The sequence below is a fragment of the Homo sapiens genome, chromosome 5, assembly GCF_000001405.40.
Source record: "Homo sapiens chromosome 5, GRCh38.p14 Primary Assembly".
Taxonomy (NCBI): domain Eukaryota; kingdom Metazoa; phylum Chordata; class Mammalia; order Primates; family Hominidae; genus Homo; species Homo sapiens.
Genome location: NC_000005.10, coordinates 147,642,659 through 147,668,356, shown reverse-complemented (window position 1 = coordinate 147,668,356; position 25,698 = coordinate 147,642,659). Strand labels below are relative to the sequence as shown.

Genomic DNA, 25,698 nt, shown 5'->3' with positions numbered 1-25,698 from the left:
TGCATGATCCATTGGTTAGTGTGTATGAACATGCCACGGGCTGCCCCAGGGCTTTTTACTCTCCCTCAGAGATAAACTATGGTTTCGTGAACAGCATGGGCACAGTGACAGAGGGAATGAATGGACAGGAGCAGGGAACAGGGTTCTCAGGGCAGAGGCAGAAGGGCAACAGGCCTGGGTTGCAAGACTGAGAATAATCAGCTCCAGACAGGAGCTGTCCCATTGGCACAGCCCTTCAAACTGCAAAGCATTTTCACATCGAGCCTCACAACCATCAGAGCAAGCCCGTGACAAAGACAGGGTGCAATTACTATTCTGCCTTCACTGAGGAAGAAAATGAGGTTCAAACTGTTTAACTCATTTGCTCCAAGAGACACAGCTGGTGGAGGAGCCGCGATGGGAATTCCTGTCTTCTGTAAGATGGTGGTGATCAAGGTAATGCTCACTGTCTGATTCAAGGCATCTATTGCCTCTAGGGCATTCTCAGAAAATCAACCAACATTTTCTATCCTCGAGTGACTGTCCCCACAGCCTCCAGATACAGGTACCAAATTTGGGATGGGGTATATTTTCCTATCTACTCCTTTAGTTCTATTTTCAGGAAGCATAAGTAGCTGAAAACAAGAAATTTTAAAAATAGGATCCTTTGCACTGGATTGTGTAAGGTTGTATAGGACTTCCCTTGTAAGCAATCTTCCTAGAGCGACTCCTTCACACCTCTTCTCTGAGAGTTGCTTTGTGCCCATGAAAATCCCTGCCAGTTTACTGTGTTCCTCCAGGAACATCCAATGCAGATAATCCAGGCCAAAGTTTATGTTAGCTTAGCTTGCCTTGATAACCTCTCAACCTTTTCCTTACCTTTGACTGAGCTGTCCAATTTTTAATCCTACATTTCTAAGATCACTTTTGAAGCTCAAATCATCACTATCTTTCTCTTGGCAGAATTTACATTGGCATTTTGCAAAGGCTAGACCAGAAGTAGGACAGAATAGAAAAATACAACATGAGGTCTGTGCAAGATAGTCATAAATTCTTTTTTCCCTGTCATAGTGTAACCTTTCCTTGGTAGGATTAAACTTTTCTAATGATCTTTTTTCCCATAGAACCTCTAGGGTAGAAAGGATTTGGAAACCCATCATTCAAAGCCCTACCGAGTGCTCTCCCCTTCACCCTGCCCCACCCCGCACCACTCTTTAGGCCCATACGCACCCCAAGTGTCTTCCACGTCAAGATTAGATGCTGCCAATGCCAGAGAACACAATACGTACTGAAGAAACTCAGCTTTATCTTTGAACATCTCTTTCTGTTGGAAAAACAGTTACCATCTTAATAATGTAATATAGTAATGTTAGTCTTATCAGGATGATATGGGTACTTTTATATTTATGTTGTTGGTATTAATGTAATAGTGTATAATATTAATATATACACAGTATTTATTAAAATTATATTATAATATCCACCATGTATTAATAGTTATTAATCTCTAATGTGTTCCAGCTTTTCTAAAGAGCTTTTGATCCATTGCCTATATCAATCATCACAATAGCCGTAAGAGAATGATATCGACAATCCCAGTTTTCAGATGAGAAAACTGAGGCTGACAGAGGTGAAGCAAGGTTTCAGGTGCAAATACGAGGTGTCCAAGGTTTCAGAGCAAACAAGGAGGTGTAGGAACTTACCTGGAGCCAGCTCCTGGCCCACAATGTACTTTAGTGAGTCTTCTTTACATTGTTCTTATGTAAAGACTGTTTCTCACTTTTCTTATCACAACTTGTGATGAAACAAAGACTTCCTACATCATAGAGCCGCCCGGGAGGTTAAATGGACTGATGTGTGTAAAGCCTGTTTAGAAAGTTGCCTAACTCATATTAAACCCTCAATAAATGCTAGCTATTATATGGTTGAGCTGAAATTTTTCTCCGTAAAACATCTCCATGTATCAAAATTGGTTTCTTTCTTCTACTAAATAATTTTCTTCATTTCAAAGTATTATCATCTTTATATTTTCATTGTTACTCAGGAATAGTTTATAATTTTGTATATTCATTTTAAGATTTATATTAAGATTTAAATCTATATCCTTAGTGGTGCCATCTGCACTGCAAATAATTTTCAGAAAATTTTTATTGGCCTTTTTCCCCAAAAATTTCAGTCACATTGTTTGGCTTTTCTTCAGAATAAAACACTTCTTCCAGACTTAAAAAGAAGCCATAACTAGAAATCCTGCAAAAAAATGTCAGTTTTCATGACAACCAAAATAAGTAAACATAAAAACATGTCAAATGTTACTCAGTTCCTTTGAATTTTCTCTAGTTTTCATGGATTATTTTAAGGGATAGACAGTGTTTGTTTTTGTTTTTGTCTTCAGGCTGGAATACATGTTTCATGCACCTGTATTTTTACTTTTTTAAAAATAATTTCCTTCATCTCCTCTTCAGTTCTCAGGCAAAAGCTTTGAGTTGATAATTTGGGGTAAATGACAGAATCATAGGAAGATACAATTTGATGCACCTCCAGAGAATTTGACATAAATAATTTTAGATCAAGGAGTATCTCCTATTATATCCAGTAATAATATTACCTTACACTTCATAGTACTTTACAGTTCAAGGTACTTTTCCGTACACAATCTAGTTTAACCCTAAAAATAACCCAGTTACAGACATTTTTAAGTGTAATCAAAAATCCTCAGAAGGATAAAGCAACTTTCTTAGAGATAGCAAATAGTGAAACAGGAATAAAAACCCAGAATTTCTTACCCTTTGTCCACTTTTAGTACAGTTTTTCACTGTTCTCAGAAGAATGGCTAAAAGTTTCCCTTGTTACCCACCAGCCATTGCAGTCATGATACTGTTCCAGATGCCTAGTGTAAGTGCATCCTGCAGAAATTGAAGATGACTAAATTCCTATCACTTGAGCTGAAGTAACTTTCCCAAGGTCTTATATGGAAGGTAAATTGTCGTAGTTTCTAAATCAATAGAAAACAAGGCTTTTCCTTTCAAAAAATGCATTATCTAGAATAAGAATCAGCAAACTCTTTCTGTGAAGGGCAAGATAGTGAATATTTTAGGCTTTGTGGACTAGACAGTCTCTGTGAAACTACTCAACTCCATTGTAGCATGAAAGCAGCCTTAAGCAATATGTAAATGAATGGGCATGGCTGTGTCCCAATAAACTTTATTTATAAAAACAGGAGCAGGATGGATTTGGCTCATGGGTGGTAGTTTGCCCACCCCAATCTAGAAGATGCCCACTTCCATTCACTCTAGAAAGATGGAGAGTAAGATCTAGATTGTCCTTATTGAAGCACCAAGAGAAACACCTAGCAGAGGGAAGTGAATTCTTATATGTTAGGGTTTTGTTTTGTTGTCATTTTATACTGGGAAGGGGTTGAGGAGGGGCTGATCTGGTAACCCTGCAAGCCTGTATTCTCTAAACTGTATGACAGAAAATATTATTCTTGCCTCTGGCTAGGGGCCTAGCCAGAGAGATATAACAGCATACATCCTTAGTTCTACACATGCCACCTGGTTTCTTATATATTGTTCTGGGAGCCACTGGGTACACAGAGATGAGGATGGCTCATTGGCAACTTTCTAAAAGTTACCAGCCTGCGGTAGGGTAGAAGAGGAGGTGATGAGGACAGACAAGTGGGCAAAAAAATGCAAAGAAAACTGTGAAAACCGCTACTAAGGAGGTGTTTCAAAAGTATACTGAGAAGACAAAGGTAGGAGAAATGAGCTTTGTCCTGGGTGAGTAGGGTGGCATGACAGGAGAGGATGACCTCTAGCCAGGCCATGAGGAATGTGAGGATCCCAAAAGGAGCTGATGGAAGAATAAGTCAGGAAGAAGAAACTGTGGCATCTGGGTACGAGATGCAGGCATGTGCAGAAAATAGCATAATCCCCCCCACCTAGAGCACGGGACAGGTGAGGAGACAGAGAGGGAGAAGCAGGAGCTGGAAATCCAACCAAACCTTCCTGAGAGCCTGAAAGGTGAAGCTGGGCTGTTGAGATTTTATTCCACAACATAAAAGAGCCTGGGTGGTTTTGAGCAGATACGTAAGGAAAACCAGAACTGAGCTTTACTAAGAGAATATCACCAGGAGTGTGGGAAAAGCTAGGTTCACCAAATGAACCTTTAAGAACTCCAGAGCAACACTGTCCAAGAGAAATATAATGTGAATCCCAAATGCAAGCCATATCTGTGAATTTAAAATTTCTTGCTAGCTGCAATTTTAAACAGTAAAAAGAAACAGAATCAGTTGTAATAATATCGTTTAGAATAATTTATCCAAAACATTATAGTTTCAATATGTAAGCAATATAAAAACGATAAAGGAGATATTTTACATTCTTTACCTCGCACTAAGTCTTCGAAATCCAGAGTATATTTTACATGGAGAGAAAATCTCACTTCAAATTTGCAGTATGGTAACTAGCGGATGCCACATAGGACAAGCACAAGTCTAGAGCCTAAGAAAGAAGAGGCCTCCAGGAAGGGACCGTAGGTGTAAGCTGGAGGTGAGATCAGAGGATGGTTATTTGAGGATATCTGGCTGCTTATTTCACCAAATCCCCTTGTGCCCCAAGCTCTTTTAGAATAACCATCATGGGAATAATTGCTGCGCCTTTAAAAATAAACTGTTCACAAAATACTATGCAAACTTAGAAAATACTGTTCTAGCTAAAGGTAGGTTAACTATTAAGGTGAGTAAAATCTCAGACACTGTATATTAGGGTTCTCTAGAGGGACAGAACTAATAGGATAGATGTATCTATAAAAGGAGGTTTATTAACGAGTATTGACTCACACAATCATAAGGTCCCACAATAGGCTGTCTGCAAGCTGAGGAGCAAGGAAGCCAGTTCAAGTCCCAAAGCTGAAGAACTTGGAGTCTGATATCCAAGGGCAGGAGGCATCCAGCACAAGAGAAAGATGTAGGCTGAGAGGCTAAGTGAGTCTAGTCTTTTCACCTTCTTCTCCCTGCCTTTATTCTGGCTTCCCTGGCAGCTGATTAGAATGTGCCCACCTAGACTGATGGTGGGTCTGCCTTTCCCAGTCCACTGACTCAAATGTTAATCTCCTTTAGCAACACCCTCACAAACACACTCAGAAACAATACTTTTCATCTTTCAATCCAATCAAGTTGACACTCAGTATTAGCCATCACAGACACTTTATATTACAGTGGTTAAAATATGGAGTCTCAATCTTAAGATTTTTCAACTGGAAAGGTTCTTAACTATTATTTTGTAAAACCTTCCAATTTTACAGATGGTGGAGACTCGATATCACTCAACTAGCTATTACTCCTGGGACTCCCCAATTTTCTTCCTTTTCTCTTCTTTTTTTTTTCTTCTTTTTTGAGACAGAATCTCACTCTGTCTCCCAGGCTGGAGTGCAATGGTGCAATCTTGGCTCACTGCAACCTCTGCCTCCTGGGTTCAAGAGATTCTCCTGCCTCAGCCTTCCCAAGTATCTGGGACTACAGGTGCCTGCCACCACGCCCAGCCAATTTTTGTATTTTTAATAGAGACGGGGTTTCACCATGTTGGCCAGGCTAGTCTCGATCTCCTGACCTCAGGTGATCCATCCGCCTCGGCCTCCCAAAGTGCTGGGATTACAGACATGAGGCACTGCACCCGGCCCCCTTTTTCTAGGTTACTCTGTGTATGTGTGTGTGTGCATGCGGGGGTTGTGTGTATCACAGAGAGAGACAGAGAGAGAAGACAGAGACAGAGCCAAGCAGCAGAGATGAAGTGGGGGAGGAGGACAGCATAACAGGATCACGGAGAGGCTTTTTCGAGACACAAATGTCTGGGCCCCACCTGATCTACTGAATCAGAGACTCACAGCCAGATTAGATCAATAGGTAGTGCCATTGCTAATCTACAAGGAGGCCTATATTATCACAGGAAATTTAGCAAAACATAGAATAGTTTTAAACCGGAATTCCTGAGAGGTAAAAAGCTTATTCGAAATATTTTATCAAACTACTTGGAGTGTTGGCTTGTGGGGCAGGAAGGGAGAAGGAGGAGTGAGAGTGAAAAGGGACTCAAAGAGACATTCATGGCACATTCAGAAATAACAATGGTCACTAAAGTCCTTCATCAGAGAGAGGACCCAATGATCTGCAGTTTTGTTGTTGGTGGTGGTTTTTTGTTTGTGTGTGTGTGTGTGTGTGTGTGTAAAACTTGGGGATGAAACTAACCTGCCATACTAAGAAAGGTAAGGTTGAGGCTATTATCAACTGTCTTCATTTTTCACCTCCTTGGCAGCAGCAGCATCTCTTCAAAAAAAAAAAAAGAAAAGAAAAGAGGGAGACGGATGCTCAATAATATCACTTGAGGCACTAATTTATTAGCCTTATCACAATATCAAACTGTGAGCTATTCTAAGACACACATTTATCAGTTTGGATCTAGCTAGGGTTGTGTAGTCTAAAAAGCTCTCCAGGCGATCTGTTTTGCAGTCCTCCCCGTAAAGGGAAAAACCATGATAGCGATACTTTCTAATTTTAAGGCGTATACCAATCACATGGGGATTTGTTAAGATGCAAATTCTGAGTCATAGATCTGGGGCTAAGCCAGGGATTCTGTGCTTCTAACATGCTTCCTGGGTGATACCGAGGCTGCTTGTCTGCAGACCACACATTGCATAGTAAGGCCCCAGAACATCAAATATTCATCTGAACAAAGTAATATAAATATCCTCAGGTATTTCCTCCTCTTACACACTGTATTCCCAGCTTCAAGGCCTGTAGTTCTTTTTTCTCAGAGGGCCTGGAATTGGAAAAGAGATGAGGAATTAAGAGATCACAGCGGCCTGAGCTGCAAATCCTGCCTAGGAGCACACCCGTCCTTTGAGGCTCATTTCTCTTCATCATTTCGCCTCTCTGTTTTTAGGTATCAAAGCTTGAAAGAGAGAAGACTCAAGAAGCGAAGAGGATTCGTGAGCTGGAGCAGCGCAAGCACACGGTGCTGGTGACAGAACTCAAAGCCAAGCTCCATGAGGAGAAGATGAAGGAGCTGCAGGCTGTGAGGGAGAACCTTATCAAGCAGCACGAGCAGGAAATGTCAAGGACGGTGAAGGTACGTGATGGAGAGATCCAGAGGCTCAAGTCTGCTCTCTGTGCTCTCCGCGACGGCAGCAGTGACAAAGTAAGGACAGCGCTCACCATTGAGGCCCGGGAGGAGGCCCGGAAACTGTTTGACACAGAGCGCCTTAAGCTCTTACAGGAAATTGCGGACCTGAAAACGGCCAAGAAGCAGGTGGACGAGGCTCTGAGCAATATGATCCAAGCAGATAAAATCAAGGCTGGGGACCTTCGGAGTGAGCATCAGTCCCACCAAGAAGCCATCTCGAAGATCAAGTGGGAGTCGGAGCGGGATATTCGGAGGCTGGTTAGTACAGTAATCCCATCAGACCCATGTAGAACCCATCTCTTCCAGGTTTCAGAGCGCTGTGGGGTTTGCTTCTTCATGTGTTTTCTTGTCAGTGGATTGTAAACAGTGCCTACCTTTTGTCCAGTGCTCTATCCAAGATAGATCAGTATGTAGGTAGGTAGATCAATCGAGAGATATGCTCAGGCCAAAATTGAAATTGTAAAGTGTAAGAGATTTTGGAAATCACCTTTCTCATAAAAACTGGATTCTCCAAGGACCATATATATGGAAAGTATCTCCAAGGACCATATATATGGAAAGGACTCCTGTTTTCTTAGATATTTATAAAAATATTCTAAATCATGGATTCTTCTAAAGTCAGCATGTTTTTGTGGGCTTTTCCTTTGTAGAGTTTTATTGTTTGTTTTTATAGAGGGTAGGAGAAGACTTTCATGATGTCTGAAAACAGCAGCTACTGAGAACATCTTGAGTCTTTTCTTCCAGAAACCATGACTGAAAAAAGATACAAAATGATAAAATCCCTAGTCATTTTAAACATAGATATTTTTCCCAAAGTATACAGGAGTCATTTAAAACAGGAGCCATTATAATTTTTAAATTGGATGTCATCCCTAAGTAGGTTGTTTGCTATTTATAGTTTCCAAGACTTACCTCAGCCCCTACAGAGTTGGTCTTTCCTTCTAACATGTTTGACCAAAAACCAGGTAGGCCTCTCACTATGCTTAAATATAATACAAATATAATTATCATCTGAAAATTAGAATGTCCTAGGTTGACCTTGTTTAATTATTTTAGACCAAAAAATTTTATATTCATCTGCATTCGGATGTTTAGCATCTGTTACATCTTACTTTAATGTTATCACATCAACTATCGCCTGTTAGAATGTACTTTATGCTTCTCCGGAAATAAGGCTTTTTTTAGGAAAAACTACACTTTTCCTTTTTTGTCTTCTAGTTCTAAGCAATTACTTTCTGAGAATTCTAATTATGTTCCTCGGGTGATATCTCTAGGCTTTTAATTTTAAGTTCAAGGTGGTTACCATAGAGCATTTTTAAAAGTTAATGTTTATTTTTCTTTATACTGCAATAGAGTGTAACTGTAAAATATTGCCATTGCCACATTTTCTGAATTCTTTATGTCAACTCATTCTATTGCACTGTTTGACAATAAAGACCAAACACAGTGCAGAAATATCGGTCTCTGCCCTGCCTTTGGTTTTTGAAACGACAGTGACTGATGAAGAAAGAATCAGGACTTCGAACTCTGGAGCTGGCAGGTAAATATTCAATGAAAAGGCAGCTTTGCATTAAATATTTTCATTTGTTGATGGTTTTCAATATAAAATCTATAAGTATATCCACTTGATCTGCTAATTTTTGCACGACTTCCTTTCACCGGCATATTGCTGAAGTAGGCATGAAATCCCTTTTAATAACAACGTGAAGGGGAGGGGCCAAGATGGCCGAATGGAAACAGCTCAGGTCTGCAGCTCCCAGCGAGACCAACGCAGAAGGCAGGTGATTTCTGCTTTTCCAATCGAGGTATCCAGTTCATCTCACTGGGACTGGTTTGGCAGTGGGTGTGACCCACAGAGAACCAGCAGAAGCAGGGTGGGGCGTCGCTTCATGTGGGAAGTGCACGCAGCCAGGTGACCTCCTTCCTCCAGCAAAGGGAAGCAGTGACAGACTGTGCTACCTGCCCAAGGTACTACGCTTTTCCCATGGACACTTGCAATCCACGGATCAGCACATTCCCTCATGAGCCTACACCACCAGGGCCCTGGGTTTCAAGCACAAATCTGGGCAGCTGTTTGAGCAGGCACTGAGCTGCAGGATTTTTTTTTTTTTTCATACTCCAGCGATGCCTGGAACTCCAATGAGTCAGGACCACCGTCCAATCTCCTGGAAAGGGGGCTGAAGCCAGGGATCCAAGCAGTCTCACAAGCGGGTCCCAGTCCCACTCCCATGCTCCCATGGAACCCAGCAAGATAAGAAACACTTGCTTGAAATTCTCACTGCCAGCACAGCAGTCTAGAGTCAGCCTGAGATGATTGAGTTTGGTGGGGGGAGGAGTGACCGTCATTACTGTGGCTTTAGTTGGTGGTTTTCCCCTGACTGTGCTAAGGCGACTGGGAGATTTTTGGACTGGGCCGAATTCACCACAGCACAGCAAAGCGGCTGTGGTCAGACTGCTTCTCTAGAGTCCTCCTCACTAGGCAAGGTCTCTCTGCAGGAAATCCAGCAGCTCCATTCAGGGGCTTACAGACAGAACTCTCATCTCCCTGGGACACAGCACTTGAGGGGAGGGGCGGCTGTGGTAGCAGCTTCAGCGGATTTAATCTTTCCTGCCTGCTGGCTCTGAAGATACTGGCTGATCCTGACAAGGGAGATTCTCCCAGCACAGCGCACCAGCTCTGCTAAGGGACAGACTGCCTCCTCAAGTGGGTTCCTGACCGCTGTGCCTCCTGACTGGGAGAGACCTCCCAGCAGGGGCCAACAGACACCTCATACAGGAGAGCTCTGGCTGGCATCAGGCCAGTGCCCCTCTAAGATGAAGCTTCCAGAGGAAAGAGCAGGCAGCAATCTTTGCTGTTCTGCAGTCTCCACTGGTGATATCTAGGCAATAAGGGTCTGGAATAGACCTCCAGCAAACTCCAGCAGACCTGCAGAAGAAAGGCCTGACTGTTTGAAGAAAAACTAGCAAACAACAACAAACAAAACTAAAAAAGCAGCAACAACAACATCAACAAAAGACCCTCCCACAAAAACCCCATCCAAAGGTCATCAGCCTCAAAGATCAAAGGTAGAGAAATCCACAAAGATGAGGAAAAAACACCGAAAATCGCAAAAGCCAGAATGCCTCTTCTCCTCCAAACGTTCACAACAACTGTCCAGCAAGGGCACAGAACTGGATGGAGGATGAGATGGACAAGTTGACAGAAGTAGGCTTCAGAAGGTCAGTAAATAACAAACACCTGTGAGCTAAAGGAGCATGTTCTAACCCAATGCAAGGAAGCTAAGAACCTTGATAAAAGGTTACAGGAACCGCTAACTAGAATAACCAGTTTAGAGAGGAACATAAATGACCTGATAGAGGTGAAGAACACTGCACGAGAACTTCGTGAAGCATACACAAGTATCGATAGCCAAATCGACCAAGCAGAAGAAAGGAGATCAGAATTTGAAAACCATCTTGCTGAAATAAGGCATGCAGACAAGATTAGAGAAAAAAGAATGAAAAGGAATGAACAGAGCCTCCAAGAAATATGGGACTATGTTAAAACACCGAACCTACAATTGACTGGAATACCTGAAAGAGATGGGGAGAATGGAATCAAGTTGGAAAATACACTTGAGGATATTATGCAGGAGAACTTCTCCAACCTAGCAAGACAGGCCAACGTTCAAATCCAGGAAATACAGAGAACACCACTAAGATACTCCATTAGAAGATCAACCCCAAGACACATAATCATTAGATTTTCCAAGGTCAAAATGAAAGAAAAAATGTTAAGGGTAACCAGAGAGAAAGGCCAGGTCACCTAAAAAGGGAAGCCCATCAGACTACCAGCGGATCTCTCAACAGAAACCCTACAAGCCAGAAGAGAGTAGGGGCCAATAGTCAACATTCTTTTTGTTTGTTTGTTTTGTTTTGTTTTGTTTGAGACGGAGTCTCGCTCTGTCACCCAGGCTGGAGTGCAGTGGCGCGATCTCGGCTCACTGCAAGCTCCGCCTCCCGGGTTCATGCCATTCCCCTGCCTCAGCCTCCCGAATAGCCGGGACTACAGGCGCCCGCCACCATGCCCGGCCAATTTTTTTGTATTTTTAGTAGAGATGAGGTTTCACCATGTTAGCCAGGATGGTCTCGATCTCCTGACCTTGTGATCCACCCGCCTCGGCCTCCCAAAGTGCTGGGATTACAGGTGTGAGCCACAGTGCCCAGCCATCAACATTCTTAAAGAAAATAATTTTCAACCCAGAATTTCATATCCAGCCAAACTAAGCCTCATAAGTGAAGGAGAAATGAAATCCTTTCCAGACAAGCAAATATTTTATCACCACCAGGCCTGCTTTGCAAGAGCTCCTGAAGGAAGCACTAAATATAGAAAGAAAAAACCAGTACTTGCCACTGCAAAAACACACCAAAATATAAAGACCAATGACACTATGAAGAAACTGCATCAATTAGTGTGCAAAATAACCAGCTAGCATCATGATGACAGGATCAAATTCACATATAACAATATTAACCTTAAATGTAAATGGGCTAAATGTCCCAGTTAAAAGACACAGACTAGCAAATTGGATAAAAAGTGAAGACCCATCAGCGTGCTGTATTCAGGAGACCCATCTCACATGCAAAGACACATGTAAGCTCAAAATAAAGGGACAGAGGAAAATTTGCCAAGCAAATGGAAAGCAAAAAAAAGCAGAGGTTGCAATCCTAGTCTCTGATAAAACAGACTTTAAACCAACAAAGATCAAAAAGACAAAGAAGGGCATTACATAATGGTAAAGGGATCAATTCAACAAGAAGAGCTAACTAACCTAAAAATATATGCACCCAATATAGGAGCACCCAGATTCATAAAACAAGTTCTTAGAGACCTACAAAGAGACTTAGACTCCTACAGAGTAATAGTGGGAGGCTAACACCCCACTGTCAACATTAGACAGATCAATGTGATAGAAAAATAACAAGGGTATTCAGGACTTCAACTCAGCTCTGGATCAAGTGTACCTAATAGAACAGAACTCTCTATTCCAGATCAACATAATACACATTATTCTCATGCCACATGGCACTTATTCTAAAATCAACCACATAATTGGAAGTAAAACACTCCTCAGCAAATGCAAAAGAACTGAAATCACAACACACAGTCTCTCAGACCACAGTGCAATGAAATTAGAACTCAGGATTAAGAAACTTATTCAAAACCACACAACTACATGGAAATCAAACAACCTGCTCCTGAATGACTACTGGGTAAATAACAAAATTAAGGCAGAAATCAAGAAGTTCTTTGAAAACAATGAGAACAGAGAGACAATGTACCAGAATCTCTGGGATACAGATAAAGCAATGTTTAGAGGGAAATTTATAGCACTAAATGCCCACATCAGAAAGATGGAAAAATCTAAAATCAACACCCTAACATCACAATTAAAAGAACTAGAGAAGAAAGAGCAAACAAATCCAAAAGCTAGCAGAAGACAAGAAATAGCTAAGATCAGAGCAGAACTGAAGCAGATAAAAACACAAAACACCCTTCAAAAAATCAATGAATCCAGGAGCTGGATTTTTTAAAAAATTAACAAAACAGACCACTAACTAGACTAATAAAGAAAAAAAGAGCACACCAAATAGACACAATAAAAAATGATAAAAGAGCTATCACCACTAACTCCATAGCAGTACAAACTACCATCAGAGAATACTATAAATGCCTCTACACAAATAAACTAGAAAATCTAGAAGAAATGGATGAATTCCTGGACACTTACACCCTCCCAAGACTAAACCAGGAAGAAGTCAAATCCCTGAATAGACCAATGACAAGTTCTGAAATAGAGGCAGTAATTAATAGCCTACCAACAAAAAAAGCCCAGGACCAGACAGATTCATAGCTGAATTCTACCAGAGGTACGAAGAGGAGCTGGTACCATTCCTTCTGAAACTATTCCAAACAATTTAAAAGGAGGGACTCCTCCCTAACTCATTTTATGGGGCCAGCATCATCCTGATACCAAAACCTAGGAGAGACAACAAAAAAAGAAAACTTCAGGCCAATATCCCTGATGAACATCGATGTGAAAATTCTCAATAAAATACTGACAAACCAAATCCAGCAGCACATCAAAAAGCTTATCCACCATGATCAAGTCAGCTTCATCCCTGGGATGCAAGGATGGTTCAATGTATGCAAATCAATAAATGTAATCCATCACATAAACAGAACCAATGACCAAAACCACATGATTATCTCAATAGATGCAGAAAAGGCCTTCAATAAAATTCAACATCCCTTCAGGTTAAAAATTCTCAGTATTGGTGGAACAAACCTCAAAATAATAAGAGTTATTTATGACAAACCCATAGCCAATATCATACTGAATGGAAAAAACTGGAAGAATTCCCTTTGAAAACCAGCACAAGACAAGGATGCCCTCTCTCACCACTCCTAGTCAACATAGCATTGGAAGCTCTGGCCAGGGTAATCAGGCAAGAGAAAGAAATCAAGCGTATTCAGATAGGAAGAGAGGAAGTCAAATTATCTCTGTTTGCAGATGACGTGATTCTGTATTTAGAATTCCCCATGATCTCAGCCCAAAACTCCTTAAGCTGATAAGCAACTTCAGCAAAGTCTCAGGATACAAAAGCAATGTGCAAAAATCACAAACTTTCCTATACACCAACAATAGACAAGCAGAGAGCCAAATCATGAATAAACTCCCATTCACAATTGCTACAAAGAGAATAAAATACCTAGGAATACAGCTTACAAGGGACATTAGGGACCTCTTCAAGGGGAGCTACAAACCACTGCTCAAGGAAATAAGAGAGGACATAAACAAGTGGAAAAACATTCCATCCTCATGGATAGGAAGAATCATCATCATGAAAATGTCCATACTGACAAAAGTAATTTATAGATCAACACTATTCCCATCAAACTACCATTGACATTCTTCACAGAATTAAAAAAAAAAAACTACTTTAAATTTCATATGGAACCAAAAAGAGCCCATATAGCCAACACAGTCCTAAGCAAAAAGAGCAGAGCTGGAGGCATCACACTACCTGACTTCAAACTCTACTACAAGGCTACAGTAACCAAAACAGCATAGTACTGGTACCAAAACAGATATATAGACCAATGGAACAGAACAGAGGCCTCAGAAATAACACCACACATCTACAACCACCTGATCTTCGACAAACCTGACAAAAACAAGCAATGAGGAAAGGATTCCCTACTTAATACATGGTGCTGGGAAAACTGGCTAGGCATATGCAGAAAACTGAAACTGGATCCCTTCCTTACACCTTATACAAAAATTAACTCAAGATGGATTAAAGACTTAAATGTAAAACCCAAAACCATACAAACCTTAAAAGTAAACCTAGGCAGTACCATTCAGGACATAGGCATGGGCAAAGACTTCATGATGAAAACGCCAAAAGTAATTGCAACAATTGCCAAAATTGACAAATGGGATCCAATTAAACTAAAGGGCTTCTGCACAGCAAAAGAAACTCGCATCAGAGTGAACAGACAACCTACAGAATGGGAGAAAATTTTGCAATCTACCCTTCTGACAAAGGTGTAATATCCAGAATCTATAAGGAACTTAAACAAATTTACAAGAAAAAGCAAACAACTCCACCAAAAAGTGGGCAAGGTATATAAACAGACATTTCTCAAAAGAAGACATTTATGCGGCCAACAAACATGAAAAAAAAAAGCTCATCATCTCTGATTATTTGAGAAATGCAAATCAAAACCACAATTAGATACCATCCCACACTAGTCAGAATGGCAATTATTAAAAAGTCAAGCAACAGTAGGTGCTGGTGAGTCTGTGGAGAAATAGGAACACTTTTTGCACTGTTGGTGGGAATGTAGATTGGTCCAACCATTGTTGAGGACAGGGTGGTTATTCCTCAGGGATCTAGAACCAGAAATACGTTTTGACCTAGCAATCCCATTACTGGTTATACATCCAAAGGAATATAAATCATTCTACTAAAAGGCACATTCACACGTATGTTTATTGCAGCATTATTTACAATAGCAAAGACATGGAACCAACCCAAATGCCCATCAATTATATAGACTGAATAAGGAAAATGCAGTACATGTGCACCATGGAATACTATGCAGCCATAAAAAAAGAATGAGTTCATGTCCTTTGTAGGGACATGAATGAAGCTGGAAGCCATCATCCTCAGCAAACTAACACAGGAACAGAAAACCAAACACTGCATGTTCCCGCTCATAAGTGGGAGTTGAACAATGAGAACACATGGACAAGGGAGGGGAACATCACACACTGGGGCCTGTCAGGTGGTGGGGGCAAGGGGAGGGAGAGCATTAGGACAAACACCTAATGCATGCGGGGCTTAAAACCTAGAGGACCGGTTGATAGGTACAGCAAGCCACGATGGCACATGTATACCTATGTAACAAACCTGCACATTCTGTACATGTATCCCAGAACTTAAAGTAAAATAAACATTAAAATTTTAAAAAGTAAATCTGAGCCACCTTATGAGTAGTTCACAAACTGCATGAACACAGAATAACATAGGAAACTTTTTTGATAGCGCAGATATACTCATCTTCATTTTTTCCTTCTTTTTACTCTGTGCCTACCCCTACCCCAAGCTCCATTTTTGGAACTGAAAGGGAGAGAAATGGGAGTTGTTCTGTCTAGAAAATTTCCCCAGAGAATTCTGGTTTATACCCTTTCCCATCTAAGTAGGGCTTTGGTTGATTTTCAGTATTTTGAGATCAGAGTCCATGCTCATAACTGCTACGCAATAAAGCTTTCTCAATGCTAATTACTATATATCCCACAGGAAACCACTTTGGGAAATGCTTAAAGTATATGAATAATCTTAAAGCCAGTATAGCATAGTACCTAACAGAATGGGCTCTATAGTTAGAAGATTCCATTAAAAATACGGCTTCACAACTTACTAGACATATGACTATGACCAAGTTTTTAAGCTTTCAGGTCCTCAGTCATCACCTGTAAAATGATGACGACTGAACCTACTGAATAGGATTGTTATAAAATAAGGCATATTAAGCTCTGAGTATAGTACCCTGAATATAGTGAAAGATCAATAAATTTCAGCTGTGATGATGGTGATAATGAGGCTGAATGTGGGCAGTAATAGAATGATTTCTCGACAAGTTTAACAAGGTGAGTACATAAAAAACAACTAGAGCTATGTCAACTCATGAAAAGTAACTAGAGCTATGTTAACCTGCAAATAAAAGTAATGCTCCAGTTGACAAGTCTGACAAATGAACATGCTGCTCAGTTAAGAAAAACACAGGTCTCAAGTCTTCTACAAGGAGACGGAAACCAAAGACAATGCTATTATTCCCAATTAACGGGACAATATTGAATTCTTACCAAGTTATCAGATGATATTACAAGATCATGCAGAATTTAGCCCAAAGCTCTCTCAGAATTGACCTAAAATTTAAGCATGTGACTCACAGGCAGTAGCTCACAGATATTTATATGTGGAAAATACGTGACTATGTAACACCATTTCTGTTGCAGGTTTTTTTTTTCTGGTCTAAGAGCACACAGCAAAGAAAAATTTATACAAAAGTATTGTTTTGTATAAGGAGACACTTTTAGAAAAAGCAAAACAGCGTAATGTTGTTTGTATTAAATGTCTTTTCCTTATCTCCATTTTGAATGTACACATAGAATATAGTGAAACGATAAGAAAGGTTTCACCCAATGGCTATGCTCTCTTTAAAAATTGTTTATAGACATTCACTTCATTAGCCCTCATCCTAGGATGGCAAAAAGGTTTCATTCCAAGGGAACTCAAATCAACTGGTATTGAATGCCTGTGGCCTTTAGTTGAGAAATTCTTCTGAGGCCATGCCCAGGCTTAGCAGAAATGCATATTTGGATCAATAAATATATCTCACACATGTGGGAGGGAAAATAGTGGTTAATATTGCCAGATATTTTCTATTCCTGTTAATCCCAACCATGATTTTCTTATAGTAATGATAAAATGGTTGCTAAGAACTGGCTGCTCTGAAATACAAGTGAGAACAGAAAGAGATATAACACATGAACCGTGGAAGGACCTCCCTCCAAATCCATCACCTGAATGCAAGCATGTTAGTCTTGGAAAAATGACTAGGCCACTGGGAAGTCTGAAGTTTCTTCAGTTACAAATGACCAGCTACTAACAGGAGCAACAGCTATTTTGATTGAATCTGAATACCCATTTGCCCAAAGAAGAAGTGACATCAAAAAATGTCCTAGGAAACATTAGAGTGGAATATTTAATGTTCATCTTTATTAAAATTAATGGCTATTTTAAAGTTAGACTGTCCTTTGCATATCTAATCAACCCAGACTATTTCAAACAATATATTGAGTCAAAACATCTTCACAGGATATACTAGAGAGAAAAAAAATTACTCTCCTTGACACCTAATTAACCCAGGATACTTCTTCATTACACAATGTTGCCTCATCTTACTCATGAAACCAATACACTTATCAAATCCGTGATTTTTTTTCTGTATCAATCAGATAAAAGAAGTTAAACCTACACCATTGTAAAAATGTATTTCTTTACAGCATTGTTAAATAAAATGTCCTGGGTCTCATTTAATTCAGATGGATGAAATCAAAGCCAAGGACAGGATCATCTTTTCCCTGGAAAAGGAACTGGAGACCCAGACAGGCTATGTACAGAAACTCCAACTTCAGAAGGAGGCTTTGGACGAACAACTCTTTCTGGTCAAGGAGGCTGAGTGCAACATGAGCAGCCCAAAACGAGAAATTCCAGGAAGGGCAGGTGATGGTTCCGAACACTGCAGCAGTCCTGTAAGTCCATTCTAGTTGAAGTTAAGAATGCACAAGTCATCTTTTATTTAGCTCCCAAGTTTTACCTTTTACTTAAGCTCTTTTCTTGTTTACTACAAAGAAATCAATCTACCTTCTACTATAAAATCAGCTAGTATCTTGAGAACAGGGTTTTCTAAACTCATAGACAACTAAGTGGTCTGCACTACATTAGCAGATCACATGAGATAGATTTCTTTAAATCCTTCCTAGAATTTTTCTAGCCAGGCAATACCTATCCAAACTTAAGTCTATTATAAGAAACATAAATTAGATGAAAATATTTTGCCTCTTGCCTACACTGGTAATTTTCCCTTTTGTGAACAATTGGGTTGGAAATTGATAAAGATGGTTGTCATCTACAGGGGTCAAAATGTATAACTGCATAAAAGACAAAACCATTTTTAATCTTCATCTGAAGACTTATTGTCTGATTGAACTTACCACTTATTTCCATGAATTTTCATCATTTTATATGAGAAATTATTTTCGGAAGTGCGCAATAGAAATGGGCTTATATGCAGTTGGCTATAACTCTTATACCTTTCCAATTATTTTGCTGCTATAATAATGGAAATGTATTATTTAGGAACAGAGATGGGTTCCAAAGTACTACTTAGAACTAAGTAATGAATAATTTATGAATTGATATTCAGAATAAATATATATATATATGTATATAATCTTAGTAGGTGGTGGAAGGAGTACTTATCTAGGATTTAGCAGTTTCTGTAAGTTTTAGTTCTGACACTGACAGGTACCCGCAATATAGCATAGTTGTCAAGAGAATGGGCTCTAGAGTCAGACTCTTTGGTTCAAATCCCAAATCTGCCATTTACTGTGTGTCCTTAGGCAAACCACTTCACCATTCAGTTTCCTCATGTGTAAAATAGAAGCTATAGTAGTACCTCATATGGCTGGTCTAAAGATTAGAAGAGATAATATGTAAAATGTTGAGCATGGTGTCTGGCACATAGCATTTAATACATATTAGTTACTTATCTTTTGACATTAGCCACAAGACCTTAAAGGAGTTATTACCTATCTGAATTTTACCTGTTCTACTGAATCCTTTAGGATATTATGAATGCTGGGATATAATGTATTTGAAACTACTTTGTCAACAGTACAGCATTATCAAAATGTAAGATGATAATATAATTGTTAGCATATGATAATAACAGTCTTATATAACTCTACAACATGAAATTAAGCCATGAATGCCCTGTGTAAGGTGATTCACAGCCATTCTGCCAGTGGAGAAGCCAGTTGCATTGGGCAGAATATACTAGTCAGGCCTATCCTATAAACTACTGACCTTTATACATGAAGGTAATACATCAACATTTTCTCACCTTGACCTTTTTCTTCAGGAGTATGAAGGAATTGACAATATTAATCCCTACCTCCTACTCTCTCCCCTCTGTGGCTAATGGTAATACCAGGACAGCTGTCTAAGCTGTGGGAAGCAATGTGTGGCCATGACACAAGGGATGCCCTTTGAACCTTATGTAATCACATCATGACCTTGGTCCCACAGCACACAGCTCTGATAAGTTGATCCAACCCTCTGCACTCTCCCTGCCCTGAGTCCTGGATCCAGGGAGTATCTGCCACATGGAATTCATTTGCAATTACAACCTGGCGTGGTCTTCAACCCAAGTGGTGAATATTGAGAGTTATAAAAGGGTAAATATTTACTCTTTGGATAAAAGAATATTTTATTCTCACTTCAGGAGCCAGATAAGAGAACTGAGCCTATTACTTTTATGAATAATAAGTGATATTCCCAAACTTTGTGAAAAGTGTTGTTGAAGAAATACCCATTTTAATTTTTCTTTGTAGGATTTGCGAAGAAATCAAAAGAGAATAGCTGAATTGAATGCCACTATAAGAAAATTAGAAGACAGGAATACCTTGCTTGGAGATGAACGAAATGAACTGGTGAGATATACTAAAAATTTTTGTTGATGTTGTTGTTAAGCATTATGTTACAGAATTACATACTATGTTATAGATACGTACCATAATAGAGAAAAGTGTACAAATAATAAAGATACCATTCAATAGATATTCACAAAGTGGCACACTCAAAAAACCACCATCCAGATGAATAAATGGAAGATTACCAGCATCTCACACCCCCGCTTCTTGTGACCCCTCCCAATTAGCATCCTGTTAAACTTAACCACTATTCTGACTTCAATCGCCATAGATGTCTATCACCATTAAACATTTTTTTGTAAATGAAATCATACAATATTTTCTCTTTTTTGTCTGACTTCTTCTGCTTCTTTCACTCAGCTTTGTTTGTGAGATTTATCCATTGTGTTGCATGTAGAATTCATTCATTTTCATTTCTCTATAGTATTCAAATAATATATCACAATATACTGATCCATGTTATTGTTAATGGACATTTATGTTGTTTCTTAAAACTTCTGAGCTGTTTTGAGAAGAACAGTGCTTCTACATGTCGTTTCTGAAAAAATATGCCCATTTCTGGTGGAATATGCAGAGGAGTAGAATTACTGGATGTTAGAGTATGGATGTAGTCAGCATCAATAGTTATTACCAAACAGTGAGTTGTCACAATTCCCACCAATAATGAATGAAAGTGGTAGTTTCTCCATATCTTTTCCAACATACAAAAATAATTGTTAGTCATGTTGGTGGATGTAGGGCATACTCTTACACCTTACATTATGGTTTTAATTTTCCTCATTATTAAGAAGGTAGGGTAACTTTTCAAATATTTACTAGTCTTTCAGATATAATTTGTCCTTAGCCTTTTGCCCATTTTCTGTTATGCTGCCTTTACTGTTTCAGTTACTATTAGGATTTTTTTTATCATCACTTGTGGTACATTTGCATTTAAAATATCTTGCTCTATGGCTTACGTTTTTGTTTTTAATAGAGCTATTCATATAAGAGTTATTTTCAGCCTTTCCTTTTTTCAAATATATGCATTTTAGGCTGTAATTGACCCTCTAAGCCTTGCTTTAGTTTAATATATTGTTATTTCATTCAAAAATTTTTCTAATATCATGTAATTTTTCTTTGATATATGGGTCACTTAGAAGTAGATGGCTTAATTTCAAAACATTTAGAGATTTTTTTAGTTATCTTTCTGGTATCAATTTCTACCTTAATTCTACTATAGTCAGAGAATGTACTTTGTATATTTCATTCCTTCAAAATTTGTTGAGATTTGCTTTATGACCTCAGCATACAGTCAATTTTAGCAATGTTACATGTTTACATGAAAAGGAGGCATACTCTGTAATTATTAGTTGCAGTTTGATTGAAGTTTGTTAATAATCTTGTTTAAAATTTTTCAATTCTTACTGATATTTTTGTCTGCTTGTTCTCCCAAAAGATTTGTCTATATCCTTCTTAGTTCTTTAAATTTAACTTTATATGTAGAACAATAATATGTATTTATAATATATTAGAAATTATGTTACTAGATGAATATAAATTAATATTTGTTATATTTTTTGTGTGTATTGACCCTTTAATCATTATGCTTTTTTTTTCCTCTGGTAATACTTCTTGGCTTAAAGTCGTTGTTATTAGTTGAACTACATCAGATTTTTGTTTTAGTGTTAGTGTGCATATACATGTGTATGTGTATATATATATGTATTTATAACTATATAGACATACATATATACATACATATTTACACATACATATATACACACACAAACACACTTTTTTCCAACCTTTCTGTGTTTTATTTAAGGTGTATCTTAAAAGGAACATTTTGTTGGGTATTGTGGGACTATGGTTATTGATGTATGATGTGATAGAATTATAGATATTTTCTTTATGTATATCTGCATTTTCTGTGAATTGTATTAATAAGTAAATTTAAATATTTAAAACTCACATCATTGACCTTCAGAAGAGACAGATTAAAAAATAAGAATAACTTATTGTCCTTATATGTATGCAATATTTAATATTAATGCTTCAGGCACTAAGGACTAAGGCATTAATGCTTCAGGACTAAGTCAGATTATTTGTAAAAATAAACCCAGTTTTGGCCTTTAATATGAAATGGAGTTATTTCTTTAATACGAAATTGAGATTGAGATGGATTTGCAGAAGTGCTGTTTAAGAATCGTAAGATGAGATTTTACAAATATTCATAATTAGCTAAGTCTTCCACCTCAGCACTTCCCAAAATCTTAGAATCTCAAGAACAGTAGTGCGCACTTTAAAAAGTCTTCTCAAATATTTCGAATACAGCCCTCCTTTTTCCTTGCTCTTCTCCCAATACATACTCACATTCAGAATCATTAGTAAGAAAAGAATAAGCTAATCATGAGAAGCTGAAAATGAAAATCTATAATGTATAGGATGATCATGAAATATACAAAAAGGAGTGTTTTAAAAGTAAAGGGGAGGACTATTGACAATCCCCTCAAGACAATTTTCATAAACTTAGACCAGTGGTTCCCAACTACAGGCGATTTTGGCAATATCTGATGTTTTTGATGGTCGCAATTAGCAGAGTGTTACTGGCATCTAGCCAGCAGAGGCCAAGGATGCCGCTAAACATCCTCCACTGCACAGGACACCTTACATCAAAAAAACATCCGGCTCAAAATGTCACAGACGCCGAGACTGAGAAACCCTGCTTTAGACTAACCAAGCAAATGAGAGTATGCTCACTCTTAATTATGGGTGGATAACAATACAATCATACTTTACTAAGCTTGGGGAGAATTTGATATCCTTACACAAACATCCACAGAGTTTCAAACTTACGTGTGGTTTTTTTCCCCTCGATAAAATTTCTTTTAAAATAACAACTGTAGTGCGAGTCAGGAGATTTCCACAAGGTCTCTGAAAGAATGACCTTTGGACATAACCAGGCTTGGATTCAGCTCCTGGTCGCATTACTTAGTGGCCGTGTGGTCTGGGTGAGCTCCTTTATCTCTGAGCTAATGCAGGTCATTCCAGGTGCAGGGATTGCAGCTGAGCACGGTGGAGTAACAAGTCGGGGAAGCGAAAGAAAGCAAGGAGAGCGCGTCCTCCCGAGCATTTCCAAAACCAGTCTCTGGAGTACTTTCCTTAAGACAATGGATTGATATAAGGCTATGAAGGCTGTGATGAAAAACCGTTAGAGAAAACTGAAAAGAAAGCAAACAGTCTGTTAAATGAAGGATTGAAATGTCAGTGGTCAGTCCTCAGCCACATAGTGAAGCAGAGACAAGGCTGTCTCCAGAGGTGCTTTCACTCCCACCACTTTACTCCCCTGCCCCCACGTCCCCCAAACGCAAGACACAAATCTTCACTTATTTCTTCCCAGTTAAAACGTGTGCGGGAAACCGAAAAGCAATGTAAACCTCTCCTGGAAAGGAACAAGTGCCTCGCCAAGAGAAACGATGAACTGATGGTGTCCTTGCAGCGCATGGAAGAAAAACTAAAAGCCGTTACCAAGGAAAATTCAGAAATGGTGTGTATCACAGACTCTGCAAAACTGCAGCTTCCTTGATTATATTACCTTAATAACCTGACTTATTGCCATTTCTCAGCTTATTTTAAAAATACAGTGCTATTTGGATTTTTCCTTATGTAAGCAAGGAAGCCTTAATGAAGAAAGCAAGAGAAGGTTGCTGGCTCTGAATTTTATGAGGTTTCTATATTTGCAAAACTGTAGGAGTGCTTCCAGGAATTTGCACACTTTCCAAAGCTTGGAAATGGAGAAGGAAAGCTTTGACATAACTTAGCCACAGAAACCATCCATGACTTCACTAACATGCTATTTACAGACCTATACCCCAGGCACACCTTGTCTTCTAAGATCGTGCATGATATTTGGGAAATAGATACCATTACTTGTGTTATATGCGGACAAGTGAAATGATAATGTACTCCTTAATAGACTTTCAATACATCTATAGAGATCTTTGACAATCCCCAATGATAATGACTTATTATGGCAGATAAAATGTGCTTGAGGATTTAGTTGGTGTATGTGTATTCAGGCTGGGCAATTTCCAAATTTAGCTGGAGCCTCATAAACTTTCTACAGATATTTTATGTTAACAACCAAAGTTTGAGGTTTTTAAAGTCTCCACCTGTACTTTCTTCTTTTCCAATCCAGAGAGAAAAAATAACATCCCATCCACCCCTGAAGAAATTAAAATCTCTGAATGACCTCGACCAAGCTAATGAAGAACAAGAAACAGAGTTTCTAAAACTTCAGGTCATTGAGCAACAGAACATTATTGATGAGCTCACAAGGGTACGTGTCAATCAATCTGTAAACCCTAAGTTGTTCCCAAGGACAAGTAGCCAACAAAATATACACTGAAAGCAGTTAATTTTAGTTTAACCCCAGAGGCCCAAGTTCATATGTTAAATATGTAATTTTGTTCTAGAGACTGTATTCCAATATTTTATATTGTTCAACTGCTTTACACCTTTTAAATTATAACCCTTTGTTAACTAATTTGGTAGCACAAATAATAACAGCAAAGCACATTAAAAGAACTTTTAAATGCCTCGTTGTATAAGTTTGTAGGTAGGTTGGGTGTGTCTTGTAACTGCCTTCCAGTAGCAGGATCCCGAGGCTCAGAGATTTAATATGTTGTCTATGCTAACAACATCACATATATACCTTGTTTCCCAGGTCTCAATTCAGTGTCTAGCACATAGTTACAGTTCAACAAATATTTGTTGGATGAACAGCAACAATATAATTACATAACAGAGCTAAAATTTCAGCCCAGATTTTCTGATCATTACTTCAGTACCTACTGAGTGGGTAGAGCAGTTATTACTTCCATCAGAGTTTGGCTGAGGTTTGTGTTGCTAGTAAGGATGCACTAAGACCTCTAGGTGCCTTTGGGTTTTCTTCTTTGCCTCTCCATCTGTGTTCTGTGAATGACATCGTTGGTTGCTCTCACTTCAGGACCAAGTCAAGGCCTAAAGACTTGAATTGCAAGGAGGGAGTTAGGCAATAGTCTCCAGAGTGAGGTGAGAAAAGTGATTCACTGCCACTGAGACAGAGAAAGGTTATAGCTTCTGTTTATAATTACTTATGATTCATCCTTTTTAAAATTTCTATGTTGACTATATGTTACAATGAATACATTAGATTAGGAAGGTAATTTAAATATATAATTGTATTAGGGCTCTCTAGAGGGACAGAAGTAATAGGATAGATGTATATATAATGGGGAGTTTATTAAGGAGTATTGGCACACACGATCGCAAGGTGAGGTCCCACAATAGGTCATCTGCAAGCTGAAGAGCAAGGAAGCCAGTCCAAGTCCCAAAGCTGAAGAACTTGGAGTCTGATGTTCCAGGGCAGGAAGAATCAGGAGAAAGATGTAGGCTGGGAGACTCAACCAGTCTAGTCTCTTCACGTGCTTCTGCCTGTTTTTATTCTGGCTGTGATGGCAGCTGTTTAGATTGTGCTCACCCAGATTGAGGGTGAGTCTACCTTTCCCAGTCCACTGACTCAAACGTTAAACCTCCTTTGGCAACACCCACGTAGACACACCCAGGAACAATACTTTGTATCCTTCAATCCAATCAAATTGACACTCAATATTAACCATCACAATAATGTGTAAATTGTAAAAGTCTCATATATAGAGGCTGCATTTTTACTTATAAAGGTGAAAAAAAAAAAGCCC

At 39.0% G+C, this 25,698-nt stretch overlaps 1 protein-coding gene and 1 long non-coding RNA gene across 8 annotated transcripts in view; one reads left to right on the top strand and one right to left on the bottom strand.

The window, feature by feature from the left end:
- Positions 1-25,698, top strand: part of JAKMIP2 (janus kinase and microtubule interacting protein 2) — a 197,291-nt gene that overhangs the window by 114,372 nt on the left and 57,221 nt on the right. For all 7 annotated transcript variants that reach the window (NM_001282282.2, XM_047417951.1, NM_001270934.2 and 4 more), the window contains 5 exons: positions 6,912-7,409; positions 17,810-18,019; positions 19,883-19,981; positions 23,361-23,507; positions 24,159-24,299. In NM_001282282.2, the coding sequence (NP_001269211.1) occupies positions 6,912-7,409; positions 17,810-18,019; positions 19,883-19,981; positions 23,361-23,507; positions 24,159-24,299 (1,095 nt within the window). The remainder of the gene's footprint in view (positions 1-6,911; positions 7,410-17,809; positions 18,020-19,882; positions 19,982-23,360; positions 23,508-24,158; positions 24,300-25,698) is intronic.
- JAKMIP2-AS1 (JAKMIP2 antisense RNA 1) overlaps positions 6,348-25,698 on the bottom strand; it is a 102,016-nt gene continuing 82,665 nt past the window's right edge. Inside the window, exon 4 of the long non-coding RNA NR_038902.1 lies at positions 6,348-7,904. This is a non-coding gene — a long non-coding RNA (JAKMIP2 antisense RNA 1). The remainder of the gene's footprint in view (positions 7,905-25,698) is intronic.